This window comes from Homo sapiens, chromosome 4 (assembly GCF_000001405.40).
Source record: "Homo sapiens chromosome 4, GRCh38.p14 Primary Assembly".
NCBI lineage: Eukaryota > Metazoa > Chordata > Mammalia > Primates > Hominidae > Homo > Homo sapiens.
The window spans coordinates 14,407,001-14,424,318 of record NC_000004.12 but is presented as its reverse complement, the minus strand read 5'-3'; the positions used below and the strand labels follow the sequence as shown (position 1 = coordinate 14,424,318).

The 17,318-nt window shown below is 38.8% G+C and overlaps 1 annotated feature.

The window, feature by feature from the left end:
• Positions 13,320–13,869: an enhancer, noted in NCBI's record as "NANOG hESC enhancer chr4:14412074-14412623 (GRCh37/hg19 assembly coordinates)". NCBI's record gives its function as "activates a minimal SCP1, AML or CMV promoter by ChIP-STARR-seq in naive H9 embryonic stem cells {active_cell/tissue: H9 hESC(naive)}" and the evidence as "EXISTENCE:reporter gene assay evidence [ECO:0000049][PMID:30033119]".

Here is a 17,318-nt window from a genome sequence, read left to right as displayed (position 1 = left end):
GATTAAAAGAGACAAAGAAAGCCATTACATAATGGTAAAGGGATCAATTCAACAAGAATAACTAACTATCCTAAATATATATGCACCCAATATAGGAGCACCCAGATTCATAAAGCAAGTCCTTAGTGACCTACAAAGAGACTTAGACTCCCACACAATAATAATGGGAGACTTTAACACCCCACTGTCAACATTAGACAGATCAACAAGACAGAAAGTTAACAAGGATATACAGGAATTAAACTCACCTCTGCACTAAGCAGACCTAATAGACATGTACAGAACTCTCCACCCCAAATCAACAGAATATGCATTCTTTTCAGCACCACACCACACCTATTCCAAAACTGACCACATAGTTGGAAGTAAAGCACTCCTCAGCAAATGTAAAAGAATAGAAATTATAACAAACTGTCTCTCAGACCACAGTGCAATCAAACTAGAACTCAGGATTAAGAAACTCACTCAAAACTGCTCAACTACATGGAAACTGAACAACCTGCTCCTGAATGACTACTGGGTACATAACGAAATGAAGGCAGAAATAAAGATGTTCTTTGAAACCAACGAGAACAAACACACAACATACCAGAATCTCTGGGACACATACAAAGCAGTGTGTAGAGGGAAATTTATAGCACTAAATGCCCACAAGAGAAAGCAGGAAAGTTCTAAAATTGACACCCTAACATCACAATTAAAAGAACTAGAGAAGCAAGAGCAAACACATTCAAAAGCTAGCAGAAGGCAAGAAATAACTAAGATCAGAGCAGAACTGAAGGAAATAGAGACACAAAAACCCTTCAAAAAATCAATGAATCCAAGTGCTGGTTTCTTGAAAAGATCAACAAAATTGATAGACTGCTAGCAAGACTAATGAAGAAGAAAAGAGAGAAGAATCAAATAGACGCAATAAAAAATGATAAAGGGGATATCACCACCGATCCCACAGAAATACAAACTACCATCAGAAAATACTATAAACACCTCTACGCAAATAAACTAGAAAATCTAGAAGAAATGGATAAATTCCTCGACACACACACTCTCCCAAGACTAAACCAGGAAGAAGTTGAATCTCTGAATACACCAATGACAGGATCTGAAAACGAGGCAATAATTAATAGCTTACCAACCAAAAAGAATCCAGGACCAGATGGATTCACAGCTGAATTCTACCAGAGGTACAAGGAGGAGCTGGTACCATTCCTTCTGAAACTATTTCAATCAATAGAAAAAGAGGGAATCCTCCCTAACTCATTTTATGAGGCCAGCATCATCCTGATACCAAAGCCTGGCAGAGACACAATAAAAAAAGAGAATTTTAGACCAATATCCTTGATGAACATTGATGCAAAAATCCTCAATAAAATACTGGCAAACTGAATCCAGCAACACATCAGAAAGCTTATCCACCATGATCAAGTGGGCTTCATCCCTGGGATGCAAGGCTGGTTCAACATATGAAAATCAATAAACATAATCCAGCATATAAACAGAGCCAAAGACAAAAACCACATGATTATCTCAATAGATGCAGAAAAGGCTTTTGACAAAATTCAACAACCCTTCATGCTAAAAACTCTCAATAAATTAGGTATTGATGGAACGTATCTCAAAATAATAAGAGCTATCTATGACAAACCCACAGCCATATCATACTGAATGGACAAAAACTGGAAGCATTCCCTTGGAAAACTGGCACAAGACAGGGATGCCCTCTCTCACCACTCCTATTCAACATAGTGTTGGAAGTTCTGGCCAGGGCAATCAGGCAGGAGAAGGGAATAAAAGGTATTCAATTAGGAAAAGAGGAAGTCAAATTGTCCCTGTTTGCAGATGACATGATTGTATATCTAGAAAACCCCATCATCTCAGCCCAAAATCTCCTTAAGCTGATAAGCAACTTCAGCAAAGTCTCAGAATACAAAATCAATATGCAAAAATCACAAGCATTCTTATACACCAATAACAAACAAACAGAATGCCAAATCATGAGTGAACTCCTATTCACAACTGCTTCAAAGAGAAAATAAAATACCTAGGAATCCAACTTACAAGGGATGTGAAAGACCTCTTCAAGGAGAACTACAAACTGCTGCTCAGTGAAATAAAAGAGGATACAAATGGAAGAACATTCCATGCTCATGGATAGGAAGAATCAATATCGTGAAAATGGCCATACTGCCCAAGGTAATTTATAGATTCTATGCCATCCCCATCAAGCTACCAATGACTTTCTTCACAGAATTGGAAAAAAGTACTTTAAAGTTCATATGGAACCAAAAAAGAGCCTGCATTGCCAACTCAATCCTAAGCCAAAAGAACAAATGCTACCTAACTTCAAACTATACTACAAGGCTACAGTAACAAAAACAGCATGGTACTGGTACCAAAACAGAGATATAGACCAATGGAACAGAACAGAGCCCTCAGAAATAATGCCACATTATCTACAACTATCTGATCTTTGACAAACCTGACAAAAACAAGAAATGGGGAAAGGATTCCCTATTTAATAAATAGTGCTGGGAAAACTGGCTAGACATATGTAGAAAGCTGAAACTGGATCCCTTCCTTACACCTTATACAAAAATTAATTCAAGATGGATTAAAGACTTACATGTTAGACCTAAAACCATAAAAACCCTAGACGAAAACCTAGACAATACCATTCAGGACACAGGCACACAGGCATGGGCAAGGACTTCATGTCTAAAACACCAAAAGCAATGGCAACAAAAGCCAAAATTGACAAATGGGATCTAATTAAACTAAAGAGCTTCTGCACAGCAAAAGAAAACACCATCAGAGTGAACAGGCAACCTACAGAATGGGAGAAAATTTTTGCAACCTACTCATCTCACAAAGGGCTAATATCCAGAACCTACAATGAACTCAAACACATTTACAAGAAAAAAACAACCCCATCAACAAGTGGGCGAAGGATATGAACAGACACTTCTCAAAAGACATTTATGCAGCCAAAAAACACATGAAAAAATGCTCATCATCACTGGCCATTGAGAAATGCAAATCAAAACCACAATGAGATACCATCTCATACCAGTTAGAATGGCAATCATTAAAAAGTCAGGAAACAACAGGTGCTGGAGAGGATGTGGAGAAATAGGAACACTTTTACACTGTTGGTGGGACTGTAAACTAGTTCAACCATTGTGGAAGTTGGTGTGGTGATTCCTCAGGGATCTAGAACTAGAAATACCATTTGACCCAGCCATCCCATTACTGGGTATATGCCCAAAGGATATAAATCATGCTGCTATAAAGACACATGCACACGTATGTTTATTGCGGCACTATTCACAATAGCAAAGACTTGGAACCAACCCAAATGTCCAACAATGATAGACTGGATTAAGAAAATGTGGCACATATACACCATGGAATACTATGCAGCCATGAAAATGATGAGTTCATGTCCTTTGTAGGGACATGGGTGACGCTGGAAACTATCATTCTCAGCAAACTATCTCAAGGACGAAAAACCAAACACCGCATGTTCTCACTCATAGGTGGGAATTAACAACGAGAACACATGGACACAGGAAGGGGAACATCACACACCGGGGACTGTTGTGGGGTCGGGGGAAGGGGGAGGAATAGCATTAGGAGATATACCTAATGCTAAATGACGAGTTAATGGGTGCAGCACACCAACATGGCACATGTATACATAGGTAACAAACCTGCACATTTTGCACATGTACCCTAAAACTTAAAGTATAATAAAATAAAAAATAAAAAGATCACAAAGGAAAAAGAAATCAGTAGTACCACCCAAAACACTAAAAATAAAATATTCTTAGTTCATTTTGTGCTACTATAGCAAAATACCTGGTACTGCATTATTTACAGTGAATATACATTTATTGACTCACAGTTTTGGAGGCTGGGAAGTCTAAGAACAAGGTGCCAGCGTCTGGCAAGGGCCTTGTTGGTGCATCATCACATGGTAGAAGGTAAGAGGGCAAGGGTGGACGAATCTAGCCCTTTTATAAAGTCGCCAATCCCACCCAGGAGAATAGAGCCCTGATGACCTAATGACCTCTTAAAGGTCTCACTTCTTAACACTGTTACAATAGAAATTAAATTTCAACATGAGTTTTAGAGGGGATAAACATTCCAACCTTATCACAAAACAAAAAACCAAATACAAATAACAAAAAGCACCAGGAGCTTAACGTTAGCAGGCATCAAATCACAAGTCTATAAACTTCACACAGTGAAACTTTCCAGTAACGAATTCCATAAACTTCTAACTTTGTGGGAATTCTCCCCCGCTTCTCCTCCCACCTTATTAAACACTAGATTGGAGTTTTACAGGCTTTGCAGTAAATGCAAGTCCTTGTAGTACTCATGGTACTCGTTGAAGAGTTTTAGTTGTCATTATTTTACAGTTAATAGATGAAGTTGAGCAGGAGAGGGAAGAAGAGGGAAGAATTTGATTTATAGCAGCTGTTATTCCAGAGTGTCCTTGACAATCTGCTTTAGGATGCTCCTCCAATCGCCACAGAAACATCTGCCGAACATTCTACTTCAGGGCAAAAACTCAGTTGGTTTTATGTGCTGCTGAATCAATGGCCTATTTCTCTAGACTGTAAAGTGAGTTCAGAGTTTGCTGGAAACTTAAGAAAAAGAAAATAGGAAGCTCATTTGATGGCTGGTTGCATAAAGCCCAGCACCTGCTGCTTGGATTCTTTTTAATGCCTGGTTAAGGGAAAATGTCAAGGGCTTTTCAAATTTGCATCAATTTGAATAAAACCATTGTTATACAGCTTGCAAAAAGTCAAAACACTTTGGGAGAAGTTAGAACAGATTTTTTTTTTCCTTCAAGAGATTGGCATAAAAGCAAAACCTTGGGGATCTTAATCTGAATTAATCTAGCAAGAATTGCCCAAGCCTAAATATGCCAATTAAACTCATGTTCCAGAAGATAAAGTATTTGCTGAATTACAATATATAATTTCATAGATAAGGGTATCTCTCCTCGTCAGAAATATTTTATCAGGAAGTGAAAACATACAAGCTTGTACTACTGATAAAGCCATGAATATCAAGGAAAAGTGATATTTTTACTTGGTTTTCAAGAAAAGGGAGATTATTTTGATTGGAAATGCGAGTGCCATGGTATGTTTTCCAGTAAAGACAATGTTATATATCTGACAACAAAAACAAAATTAAAAAAATTGAACATTATAGTTACAAATAGATTTCATGTAAACAGGTAAATTAGAAAAAAAAAAAAAAGTAGGCCAGGTGCAGTGGCTCACACCTGTAATCCCAGCACTTTGGGAGTCTGAGGCTGGTGGATCACGAAGTCAAGAGATTGAGACCATCCTTGCCAACATGGTGAAACCCTGTCTCTACTAAAAATACAGAATTTAGCTGGGCATGGTGGCACACGCCTGTAGTCCCAGCTACTCGGGAGGCTGAGGCAGGAGAATTGCTTGAACCCAGGAGGCAGAGGTTGCAGTGAGCCGAGATCACACTACCGCACTCCAGCCTGGCAATACAGCTAGACTCCATCTCAAAAAAAAAAAAAAAAAAAAAAAAAACTTTAGCCCTATATGCTAGACACAATCAGAAAATTTACAGATGGGAAAAACATTCCAAAAATTTGATTTCTTTGCTCACACTAATAAGCCCCAAGTGGAGAACCAGAATGCAAACTCAGGCCCAGTTGATGTCAATTATTTTTGTGTTTGTCATGTAGAAGAGCACTTCAGAGCACACGTGTGCCTCTTTGGAAAGGAAAACCAGAGAGGAAGCATGAGTCTTGTTTTGAGTGTCCCACTGGGAAATGAATTTGAAACACTACAATTCTGGGGTTTTACAGTTTCTAGAGTCCTTTTCCGTGATAGGGAAATCTTCGTTTTTGTGCGAAGAAATATCCAGCCCTTATCAGCTGATAGGGCTGAGATTAAGGACCTTTTCTTTATCTGTTTAAGATTGATGCAGAAACAGAGCAAATGTGGACAGGTGAGCAGGGATGACCACCTGTCAACCCTGTTCCAGTGAGAGAGCTAGTGACAACAAAGGGAGGATGAAGCTGGTGTGGGTGCTGTACATCGTCCACTTGACAGATGCTTGTTGAGTGCCTGCCATTTTCTAGGCAATGTCTTAGGCACCAGAACACAACACATGCAGCAGGGAACTAAGCCACAGTGTAAAAGGAGCAGAAACTTTGGTGGTAGGCAAGTCCCAGCACAGTCACTAACCAGCTAAGTGGCCTTTGAGCATGTGACTTAACCCAAGATTGTGCCACCACACTCCAGCCTGGCAACAGAATGAGGCTCCATCTGAAAAAAAAAGTAACATTTATTTTTGTCCCTATGAAAGATAAATAAATTGAACCCAAAAAAAAAATAACATTCTGAAGTATCTCTAATTGCCATTGGCTTCATAATTAAGGCTCAAGCAGATTTATGTGGTCTTGAGTACTCTGAGATAAGCATCATGGTGGGAAAGCTTTCTATGAGTAGACTTTGCACTGCTAGCCTTCATGAAGTGTTCAATAATGTAAACAGCATTAAATTAGGAAATTGATATGGATAAAGGAGATTAGTAGTGCACAATTAATTTTTTCAAGGGGTTAAGACTCTTTTTCTTTGTGTAATAGACGTAAGTCATTTAAGCAATACCTAACTCAAAAAGCTGAATTTTAACTTCTTCCATCTTGGGTCATTAAATTTGCCTACTAATTGGTCCTACTAATTAATAACTATGAGCTATTAATGTGAATGAATTGGCTCTTAAGTTACTCCTTAAAATGACTAAGGTTTTCCAAAATTTTTTCGATGGGCTGCTTGGTTATCTATTCCTAAGGAGATAAGGATGTAATGAAACCCTCTGGAACCACATCTGGGACACTGTGCTAGGCTGTGAAGCTCCCACTTGCAGGATTAGGTAGGCTAACTGCTCTTACAGCCAGAGAGCCTTATTTCGTAAGGAAGATGGTGGGAATGGGAGGAATTGCTACACCCTTGTCATCTTACTGTTTTCTGCCTGTACTACCAGTGCAGTAACCCAGGCTTTAGGGATCTTCCTAACTGTTGGAATAATAGGACTGAGGAAGGTTCCAGAGAAGCACAATCAGAACTAAGATCACTTTGTGCTGGGCCCTACGAACCCTTTTTTCCATCATGAACCACCACTTCTTCAAGCACTAACACATTATTGAGTGTCTTCCATGTTCCAGGCACTATGCCAAAGGCTGTGGATTAATTACCTCCTTTATGCTCACAAAAACTCTATGAAGTAGATATCATCACTATCTCCATTTAAAATGAGAAAACCAAGGCACAGAGTTGTTAAGTAGTTTTTCCCAGCATGGGACAGAGCCAGGATTTTAATACAGGCAGCGTGATCTCACAGCCCTTACTTTTAATTACCACCCTAGACCTTACTGACTTTCTAGTTTACATTATGATGCAAATTGATGTTCGGAAAAACATCTCTAAAGGCCAGAACCAAAAGTGGTTTGTTACATTTTTTTCTATTTGATTTTTTCAAAACTTTAATTATCATATAGTCTGCAGAATTCACAATTACGTGGAATATTAGATTAACCAGAACACACAGTATCAAATCTGTCTCCCATGGCACAACAAATATTAAATATCAGAAAGAGCCATCATTTTTCATCTTTAGCTTTAGTTCTGATCCTGAAGCAACATCATTTATTTCAAATCTGGCTTCCTTGCTCTTCTGCAGTGTGAGCTCTTGGTAATGTGAACCCCGGGTGGGCCCCTAACTCCCCCATAACTGCAAGCTATACTTTCTATTTATTTTTCTCTCCTCCACCCTGGTTTTGGAAGGCTGAGACCACAACTTAGTATTCTTTTCGTCGATCCCCAATACCTAAGATAGTGCCTGGCCCAACAAAGCAATATTAATTCTGAGAAAATTAACGAGTGGGAGAGCCTCAGTTTTGACTTCTATTTATTAGTATGATAATATTCTCATTAACTATCTTGGAGGGATGTTATGAAGCTTGAATGAGATAATGCACAGAAAAGTGTGTAGAATTAAAATGTGGTAGAAAACAAGAGATTTTTTTTCTCATGGGATTACCCATAATCATTCTATTCCATAAGTGAACTTGACTATTCAGAGAGAATCACACCCTAGGAAAATGATTATTAGATAACAAATTTTCCAAAGCCAATTTAAAAACTTGATTATTCCTGCCTTCACTTCAATAAATCTAGTTTTGGTTATGAAAGGAAGAAATAAAGAATGTTTGGTTTCAGAGGTGCTAGGTAAGGCAAACTTTATAGAAGCAGAAGAAATACAGACTTCAAAGTCATCATTTGAAGAAAGATGCTAGAGCTACAACTCAGAGTGGGTCATATGAAGCACCTGCTATACCAAGGGCTCCATCGTCGGCACTTGTACATAAAATCTCACTAAAACTGTAAAGTCATGTAAGATAAAATATCCCAATTTTATATAGGAAGGAAATGGAGGCTTAGAGAAGTTAACAACTCACTGAAGTCCATACAACTATGAGGTAGGAGAATTAGGATTTAATCCCTACCTGTATGACTCAAAAAAACTTAGCACTTTCCACTCTGTCACAGGGCTTACTAACAACAGCAAACACCCACTTTCACCCCAAACACCCTCTACTCTCATTTTCCATAAAGCCCAGTAGTGTGGCCAACAGGCTCTGGAAGCAAGTGTGACTGTGTTGATGAGTGAATTAAAAGTATCCCACCTGCAAGTCATAAAAACCCAACTCTAATAAGCTTATAAATTAAAAAGAAATTATTTATTGATATTAGGGTACCCCATAGAATAGCTCTAAGCTGATGGAAAGACAAGAAAACAGATGGATATAAGAAAAATCCAGAACAAAGGACTTAAATACCTTTAGAGCTGCTTCTCCATTTCCTAATCCTGCTTCTTCTTCTCTGTATGCCAGCTTCAATCCAGACAGGACCATAGACAGCTCCCAACCACTAGCAACTGGTAAGGACCCTAAGTGGGCGACTTTGCTAAGAAAATGGAAGAAAATAAACTGTTCTGCTGTACAGGAGGAAGACTCACATAGGTCACTAGACACAGGTACCCTAGTCACTCCTGGAACCCCTGTGTATTGTTATTAAATAGGGCCAGGAGAGGAGACAGGGAGACATATTTGGAGAGAAGTGGCTCCAAGATGCAGAACATGTTGAAGTCCCAGATGCTTCAAGTGTCATTTCTTTTTCTTCTATGGATATTTTTTCTCCTACCAAAAAATGTTGGCCCTTGGCAAACTTTCACTAGCATTTTTGCTTAGCTAGTAATGTAACAATTTTTTAAAATTCTACATTATGTTCATGAAATCAGCATTTAATTAAGAGCTATGTGATTTGGGCTCATCCAGGAAAAATTAACCGTGCAGGTTCAGGGTAAAACACAAGGTAGAGTGATCTGAATCTTAAAGTTTACATGTTTTATTGAAAACAGGGGATTTCTGGATTCATAACATCTCATTAGCTATAGAAACAAATCCTACATAAAAGGCTCCCCAGTAATATCTCAAAATGGAATTTTTAACATGTATTCTTTGTAATTCTTACGTTAGTCACATTGGGTTACTTGTTAAAGCTGCAAACATGAGATATACTGAATCAGGTTGTATATGAGTTGTGTCTGAAACCTGGGGTTTAACAAGCTGCTCATATGATTTTTTACAAACAAAAAAGATTGGGAATTTCTGACCTAATATAGCAACTGCTCAAACGTGTCCTCAGGCACCTACATCCTCTGCTGGTGATGGTATACACTGGCCCAGCCTTTCTTAGAAGTAACTTTACTACATATGTCAATATCCTTAAAATGTTTATCATCTTTGTTCTTAACAATTTTACTTCTGGAAATCTCTCCTAAGGAAATATTATGAAATATGGAAAAAATAAATCTCTAAGTACAGAGAAGAGTCATTAGTTTATATTATGAGAAAAAATATCCTAAGACAATAAAATGAGAAGAGTTATGTAAATTTTGTTTATGTACTTCAATGCAATGTTATTTAGATTGTAAAATAGATGTTTGTGAAAAGTGTATTGTTATTTGACAAAATGCTGAAATTATCATGTTAAATCAGAAAAAAATAGCATGCAAGCATATTTTATAACTTTGTAAAGTAGCTTTATACCTGGAAAAGACCAGAAAAAAAAATACATATTGAAATGATAATGGTAGTTCATTGGATTATGAACAGTTTTTTCTTCTCTCTGCATTTCTTTACTTTTAAAATGTCACGTAATAAACAAATATTACTCTCATAATAAATATTTAAACAAAAAATAATATTTTACTACATTCAATAGAATTTTTATCCCTAGAAAGAAATGTGGAAAAGAAACAAAGACCCCACTTCCTGCCTGTCTTTGGGTCTATGAATATTGTGAAACCGCAACCCCACTACCTGGCTCCCATGGTAAGCCCTTCCTTATCTTTCACTTTATTATCTGTGACTGGGTCCCTAGATACCCCTGCTCTGGATAGCTTTCTCTGCTTTTCCTCCTCTCCCTCAAGGCTGCAGTCTTGCCTTAGCGTCCCGAGAGATAAAGCTGATACTCCTGATATCTACTCCCCTACGTTACTGTATTTGTACTTCTGCCCACACAGGTCACAGTTTACAAACCTAGTATTTCAGATTTGTTTGGAACAATATAGACATCCATGTAGTTCTTTCTAATGTATAACAACACTTGGTGAATAGAAGAATAACTTGGAAGTTGTTTTTCTTTTTATACACCTCTGCAGGTGTAATTGTTGAGGTTATTTTTACCCTTCATTCTCCATCATCCTCTGTATCACATTTCCTATGAAATATTGTAGGTCCTTTCTTTGCAGCCTCTGATCCTGTTAGTTTTCATAATATACCTTCCTGCATCCTATTAATTTATGTATTTTTAACCTCACATTGCATTACGTTGAATTTGTCATACTCCCCAGATTATTGTTGATTCCATTGATAAATACAATCTGGCTGTATTTATTTATTTATTACATTTTATCATTCTCCATTTTTTTTTTTACTTTAGGTTCTGGGATACATGTGCAGAAAGTGCAGATTGGTTACATAGGTATACATGTGCCATGGTGGTTTGCTGCACCCATCAACCCGTCATCTAGGTTTTAAGCCCCACATTCATTAGGTATTTGTCCTATTGCTCTCCCTCCCCTTGCCCCCCCACACCCTAACAGGCCCCAGTGTGTGATGTTTCCCTCCCTGTGTCCGTGTGTTCTTATTGTTCAACTCCCACTTATGAGTGAGAACATGTAGTGTTTGGTTTTCTGTTCCTGTGTTAGTTTGCTGAGCATCATTGTCCATTCTTATCTCCTCCTTTTACAAAACCAACCATTCTAGTCTTATTTTACTTCTGTCCTTTCATGTGTATGGGTTCTTACAGATTGTGGTGGATATTGTTGTTGTTCTATATGTTTAACATTTTACTTACATTATATGATAGTGAGCTATAGATCTTATTTTGTTCTTTTTTCCATTTTCTTTTCCTTTTTTTTTTTTTTTTTTGACAGAGTCTCGCTCTGTCGCCCAGGCTGAAGTGCAATGGTGTGATCTTGGCTTACTGCAACCTTTGTCTCCTGGGTTCAAGCAATTATCCTGCCTCAGCCTCCCAAGTAACTGCGACTACAGGTGTGTGCCACCATGCCCAGCTAACTTCTGCATTTTTAGTAGAGACAGGGTCTCATCATGTTGGCCAGGCTGGTCTCAAACTCCTAACCCCAGGTGATCCTCCCACCTCAGCCTCCCAAAGGGCTGGGATTACAGGCGTGAGCCACCGGGTCCGGCTCTTTTTTCCATTTTCTTACCGGGCACTACGTTTTGAAAATGTAGTCATGTTGCTATGAACATCTCCAGCATGTTGCTTCTAAGTGCTATACAGTATTCCATGGTTCATAGCATACATGGTTTATTTACTATTCCCCCAATCATCAGAACCTATGTTGACTGCAACTCCAACAGTTATTTGTGGTGTTTGTTTGTTTGTTTTGAGACAGAGTTTCAACTCTTGTTGCCCAGGCTGGAGTGCAGTGGCGCCATCTCGGCTCACTGCAACCTCCGCCTCCCTGGTACAAGCTATTCTCCTGCCTCAGCCTCCCAAGTAGCTGGGACTACAGCCGCCCGCCATCACGCCCGCTAATCTTTATATTTTTAGTAGAGACGGGGTTTCACCATATTGGCCAGGCAGGTCCGAAACTCCTGACCTTGTGATCCACCTGCCTTGGCCTCCCAAAGTGCTGGGATTACAGGCATGAGGCACCGCACCCGGCCAGTTATTTGCTTTAAAAATGCTTGTGATAAGGTACGTATTCTGCAAGTTTTTTCTTTAATATTAATGGAAATAAAAGCTGAAAAAATGTATTACCTAAAAGTGGTAAGCACTATCTGTTCTCTGATTGGACATAAATTAAGTTGAACCTTGGACCAAACTATTTCTTTGTTTTGCAGAACTCAGACTTCGGAAACCAAGTTGCTTCTTTGGACCAAAAGCTTATTTGTGTGTGTGTGCGTGCGTGTGTGTGTGTGTGTGTGTGTGTGTGTGATTTTAGATTAATCTAATCTTATAATTTCTCTTGTACATTGTAGTACTGTATTTGTTGTTTTTTCTTTGAGAAGTTGTTTGCAGTCAATGTAGAGCTAAGATGTCAGTAAAGACCTATAGGCATGGATGTAATTCACAAATTCAACATAAATTTATGAAGAACTTACTATGTCCCATGCATTAACTTAAGGACTGGTTTTATGGCAAATAAAAAAAAGAAAGCTCCTGCTTTCTTTAAGCTTATAGTTTTCATTATACCATGAAAGACTGAGGAAAAAATAGCACCTTCTCTTCATGTTCCTCTAAATAGACATGGCCATTGATTTTTCATGTCTAGTATTATCATTTATGAAGCCACTCATTTTGAATAGACTAAGTGCCTTGATGGGAAGAAATGTGGCATTACATAAACACCTCAATAGAAATAAACTTATTTGAGAGTCATGTTATTTTAAAACAAAGGAATTATGTGTAAGAATGACTGGTTGGGCTAATTAAATACGGTGAATTAAAGACATCTGTGGCCACTTTCCTCCCTTGACACTCGACAAAATAATTTAAAAAAATAAAAAATGAGAATATCATCTCCTGTTTAATAGCACAATACACTAACCACAGCTACAGATAACAAACTATAAATGATACCTGAAAGAAAGCATGTGAAAATGGGGGACAATGGGAGACTTTTCAAGCATATGGGTAGGGGTAAATTTCTCTGAAATAAATGCCATAGTGTGGAAAGACCCCTCCAATTATCTTTTCATTAGCATACAAGATGAAGATGTATAAGAAGGCTGAATGGATAGAAGAGACCACAGAGAAGCTTGGGAAATGAAGCAGAAGGAAGCCAGAAAACATGCCAACTTCATTAGCAATAGTATTGTTGAAGTAGCCACCTAGAGACAATCTGGAAGAGGGTAGAAAATCAGATAACAGAGAAAAACTGTGACTTCCAGAACTTCACCGTGAGCTCTAAAAACTTTTGAATGTTCAAACTGGGGAAACACATGCCCTCAGGCCAAAGGGCATTGTTTGAATAATGGCTGAGACCATTAATCAAAATGTAAGCTGTTGACTTTCTCAGCCCTTTGCCTTCTGCCAGCTTTCCCACTTGCTGAGAGCAAATAACTGGCTCAGAAGAAACTGATCTCTACACGTTTCAAACACATGTAATAGAAAATAAGTGGCTAAGAGCGTATGTATCAAATATGAAATTAAAATAATAATAATATTGATGAAAGGAATGTAAGCAAAATAATACATCTGAAACTTCTCAGAATTACTCCAGAAAACAGCAAAGAATCAGTCACCAGAATCATTTGAAAACAGTTTCCTTAAAAAAGAATATCCCAAAGAATACATCTTAGAGATTTAAGGAAAACGAAACTGACAGTGCAATAGAAGGAGGTTAAAGAGTGAGAGAGAATAGATATTTAAAAGTGAACGAGAAATATAAAACTGCTGCAAAAAATGTCAGCCACATTTGAAGCAACAAGAGCAATACTAAAAAAAGTTAAATAGCATGACTGAAAACATTTTTAGGAACAGGAAAACAGGTTTGAAGAAAAAGAACTCAGATGCAGAAAATAAAAAATAGTAATATAAAACAATTTTCCAAAGATAGGAATGGAATATGAACTACATGTAGAAGTATGTTTCACATTGATAGTTATGTTGAATTAAAGAATAATTCAGAATGATCTAAGTTTTACTAGGATAGCATTGTTGGGGCCAAAGAATAAAATCCAGATGGATTTTTCTTGAAGGAAATGGACACTCATCCTCTTCATCATTCTGGGAAGTTGTATTGTCTGAGCTGAAGAATCACAACTGGGGAAGATGACTATAAGATACTATGAGAAAACAGTATTTTTTCTTTTTCTCTGCAGCCTCATGGACGTATATTAGTACCAACTAACTAGAAGACAAAAGATAAGAAGGTAATAGGCTGCAGGGATGAAATGGAGTCAGTCTTTAGGGACCTCCTCAAGGTGGTCTGGGGATGTTAAACATAGCTACATGGTTTTTAAGTCGTTTTAAGTTTTTTTGTTGTTGTTTTGTTTTTTGGTTTTTGGTTTTTTTTTTGAGATGGAGTCCCTGCTCTGTCACTCAGGCTGGAGTGCAGTGGCGCAATCTCAGCTCACTGCAACCTCCACCTTCTGGGTTCAAGCGATTCTCTTGCCTCGACCTCCTGAGAAGCTGGAATTGCAGATACCTGCCACCATACCCGGTTAATTTTTTTGTATTTTTAGTAGACGCAAGGTTTTGCCATGTTGGCCAGGCTGGCCTCAAACTCCTGACCTCAGGTGATCTGCCCGCCTCGGCCTCCCAAAGTGCTGGGATTACAGGCGTGAGCCACTGTGCCTGGTCCATGTTAAATTTTAAATCATTTTCTATATTCCCTTTCTTTATCTATCATTTGCCATCTCAACTTTCATTGCAATCTCAATGTAAAGTCATCTCTAGAGTCTCACAGTAGGAACTTATGGCAAAGGCATATACTGCATCTGTTAAGAGCTGAATTGTGTCCTCACAAAATTGCTGTGTTGAAGCCCTAAATTCCATCACCTCAGAATGTTACCATATTTGGAAATGGTGCCTTTAAAGAGGTAATTAAATTAATATGAGGTCATTGGGGGGGCCCTAACACCATATGACTGGTGTTCTTATAAGAAGATATAATTTGGGCACAGACAGAGGGAAGATCCTGTAAAGACACAGGAAGGAGAGGGTAGCCATCTACAAGCAGAGAGGCCTTAGAAGAAATCAACCCTACCAACATCCCTATCCAGGACCTTTCAGCCTCCAGAACTGTGAGAAAATGAACATGTGTTTTTTAAGCTACCCCATCTGTGGTACTTTGTTATGCCATCTCTAGTAAGCTAATACAAAAACCACAAAAGAAGTTATAGTAGTTAGAGTAGCAGTCATAGCAGAAAACGAGCATTTACTGTATTCTGTGCAATGTCCTAAGCACTTACATGTATTGATTCACTTAATCTTTACCACAACTCTAAGAAAAGGATTAAATGAGTTAATACTTGCAAATGCTTGGGAAAGAGCCTGTACAGAATGAATGTTCAATAAATGCCACTCATTGGTATTTTCTGTATTTTAGCGTGGAGGATGCGAAGGCAAAGACCCAGGAAGATGAAGTCACTTCTGTATATTTTTATGAGTGGACATATTAGAGCTCTCACCCTCTTCCCCAGGGCTGGGTAGAGATAAAACAGTGATCACCAGGGCAGAATAGCTGTGTTCAGCAGGATAGAGTCCCACAATGGACATCAGCAGTAGACGCTGTAGGGTGGTAAGATGATGCTGGGCCCAACACTGAACACTGTGAGGGGTCATTCCTGAACACTCATGAGGAGGCAAGTTGGGGGTGGATTTGGGGGACTTTAGAAATATGCATATTAAACCCATTCACTCAAAGACAAATATTTTCCATAACTCACTTGCTTTCCTGAATGTCTTGATATACGAATGGGTCACTTGTTTCCACATTTAACTCAGTAGCAGCATTAGCCCAGAATCTATGCCTAGTCATACCCTGCAGTGGTTATTCCTCATACTATAAGAAGTTAGCCTTCCAAAGAGAGAAGAATTCCAAACTGTGGTTGTTATTGTTTTTTAAAGATAACAATCAAAAGTGTGGTCATCTGCTGTAGTCCAGGGAATCCCAGCCTTGCTTGCAATAGATGGAACTACTTCTTTGGGCTTGCCTGCTGATCGCTTCCAAGGCAAGTAGCTTCAGAAACTCTCATATTATCTGATATTACTATATCAGGAATATGTGTTGCACAGAACATACCTGCTCATCCCTCCTCTCTCACACTGGGGTAACAGGAACAGATAGAAACAGGACAATACAGGTACAGAGAAAGATTGAATTAACAGAGACAATGGGTGACTAACATGTCAAGGTCAACACCACATGCAGCTCATTCCTTTGTGGATTATGTGCAGCATCCTAATCTCTCACTCTGAAGAGAAGATGGAAAGTAGAAGCTCACGTATGTGTATGTGTGTTGGTTGGGGGTGGTTTCAGGGGCCCCTCCATGGCGACTGTGAGCCACCACCTGTTCCTAGAAGATGCTGCCATTATTACTCCATCAACAGTTGCCGATTTACTCTCCATACCCTCAGCACTCTTAGCAGGAAACAGCATGGTTTCTTCTGTGACTCCTGTGACTATTTTTCTTGCTGCTTGATGCAAGTGCCATTTTGAATTTTCTCTAGAATCACCATCTTCTCTTTCTTCTCTCACTGTTTGGGTAGTCGGTTATTTATATCTCAAGAGCAGGGTGGGCTTCCTGAGTAGGGAAACAGGGTGGGGTGGGACAGTGTGGACGTTGGTGCAAAGATCCACATTGCTCCTTCAGGCCATGGATTATCTATTTTATTTTCAGGAATAAACATGTGTGTGTGGTGTGTGTGTGTGTGTGTGCATGTGTGTGTGTGTGTGCTTGTGAAGAAGCATTTCCTGCAGAAAGACACAGAAATGCAGAATAGTGTCTGCTCCACTATAGAAGCAGGACATGCACAAAGAATCTAAAGGCACCATTTCAACTTTTTGATGCTGAGACGAGCTGTGTCATCCCAGAGCCCAGATAACAACAGATGATGCAACATGTAGACGAGGGACCTTCTTTATCAGGAGGGAGGACATACCACTCACCTCCTTGGTGCTTTCTCCTTTAATATTCAGATTAAGGGCTCAAACATCTC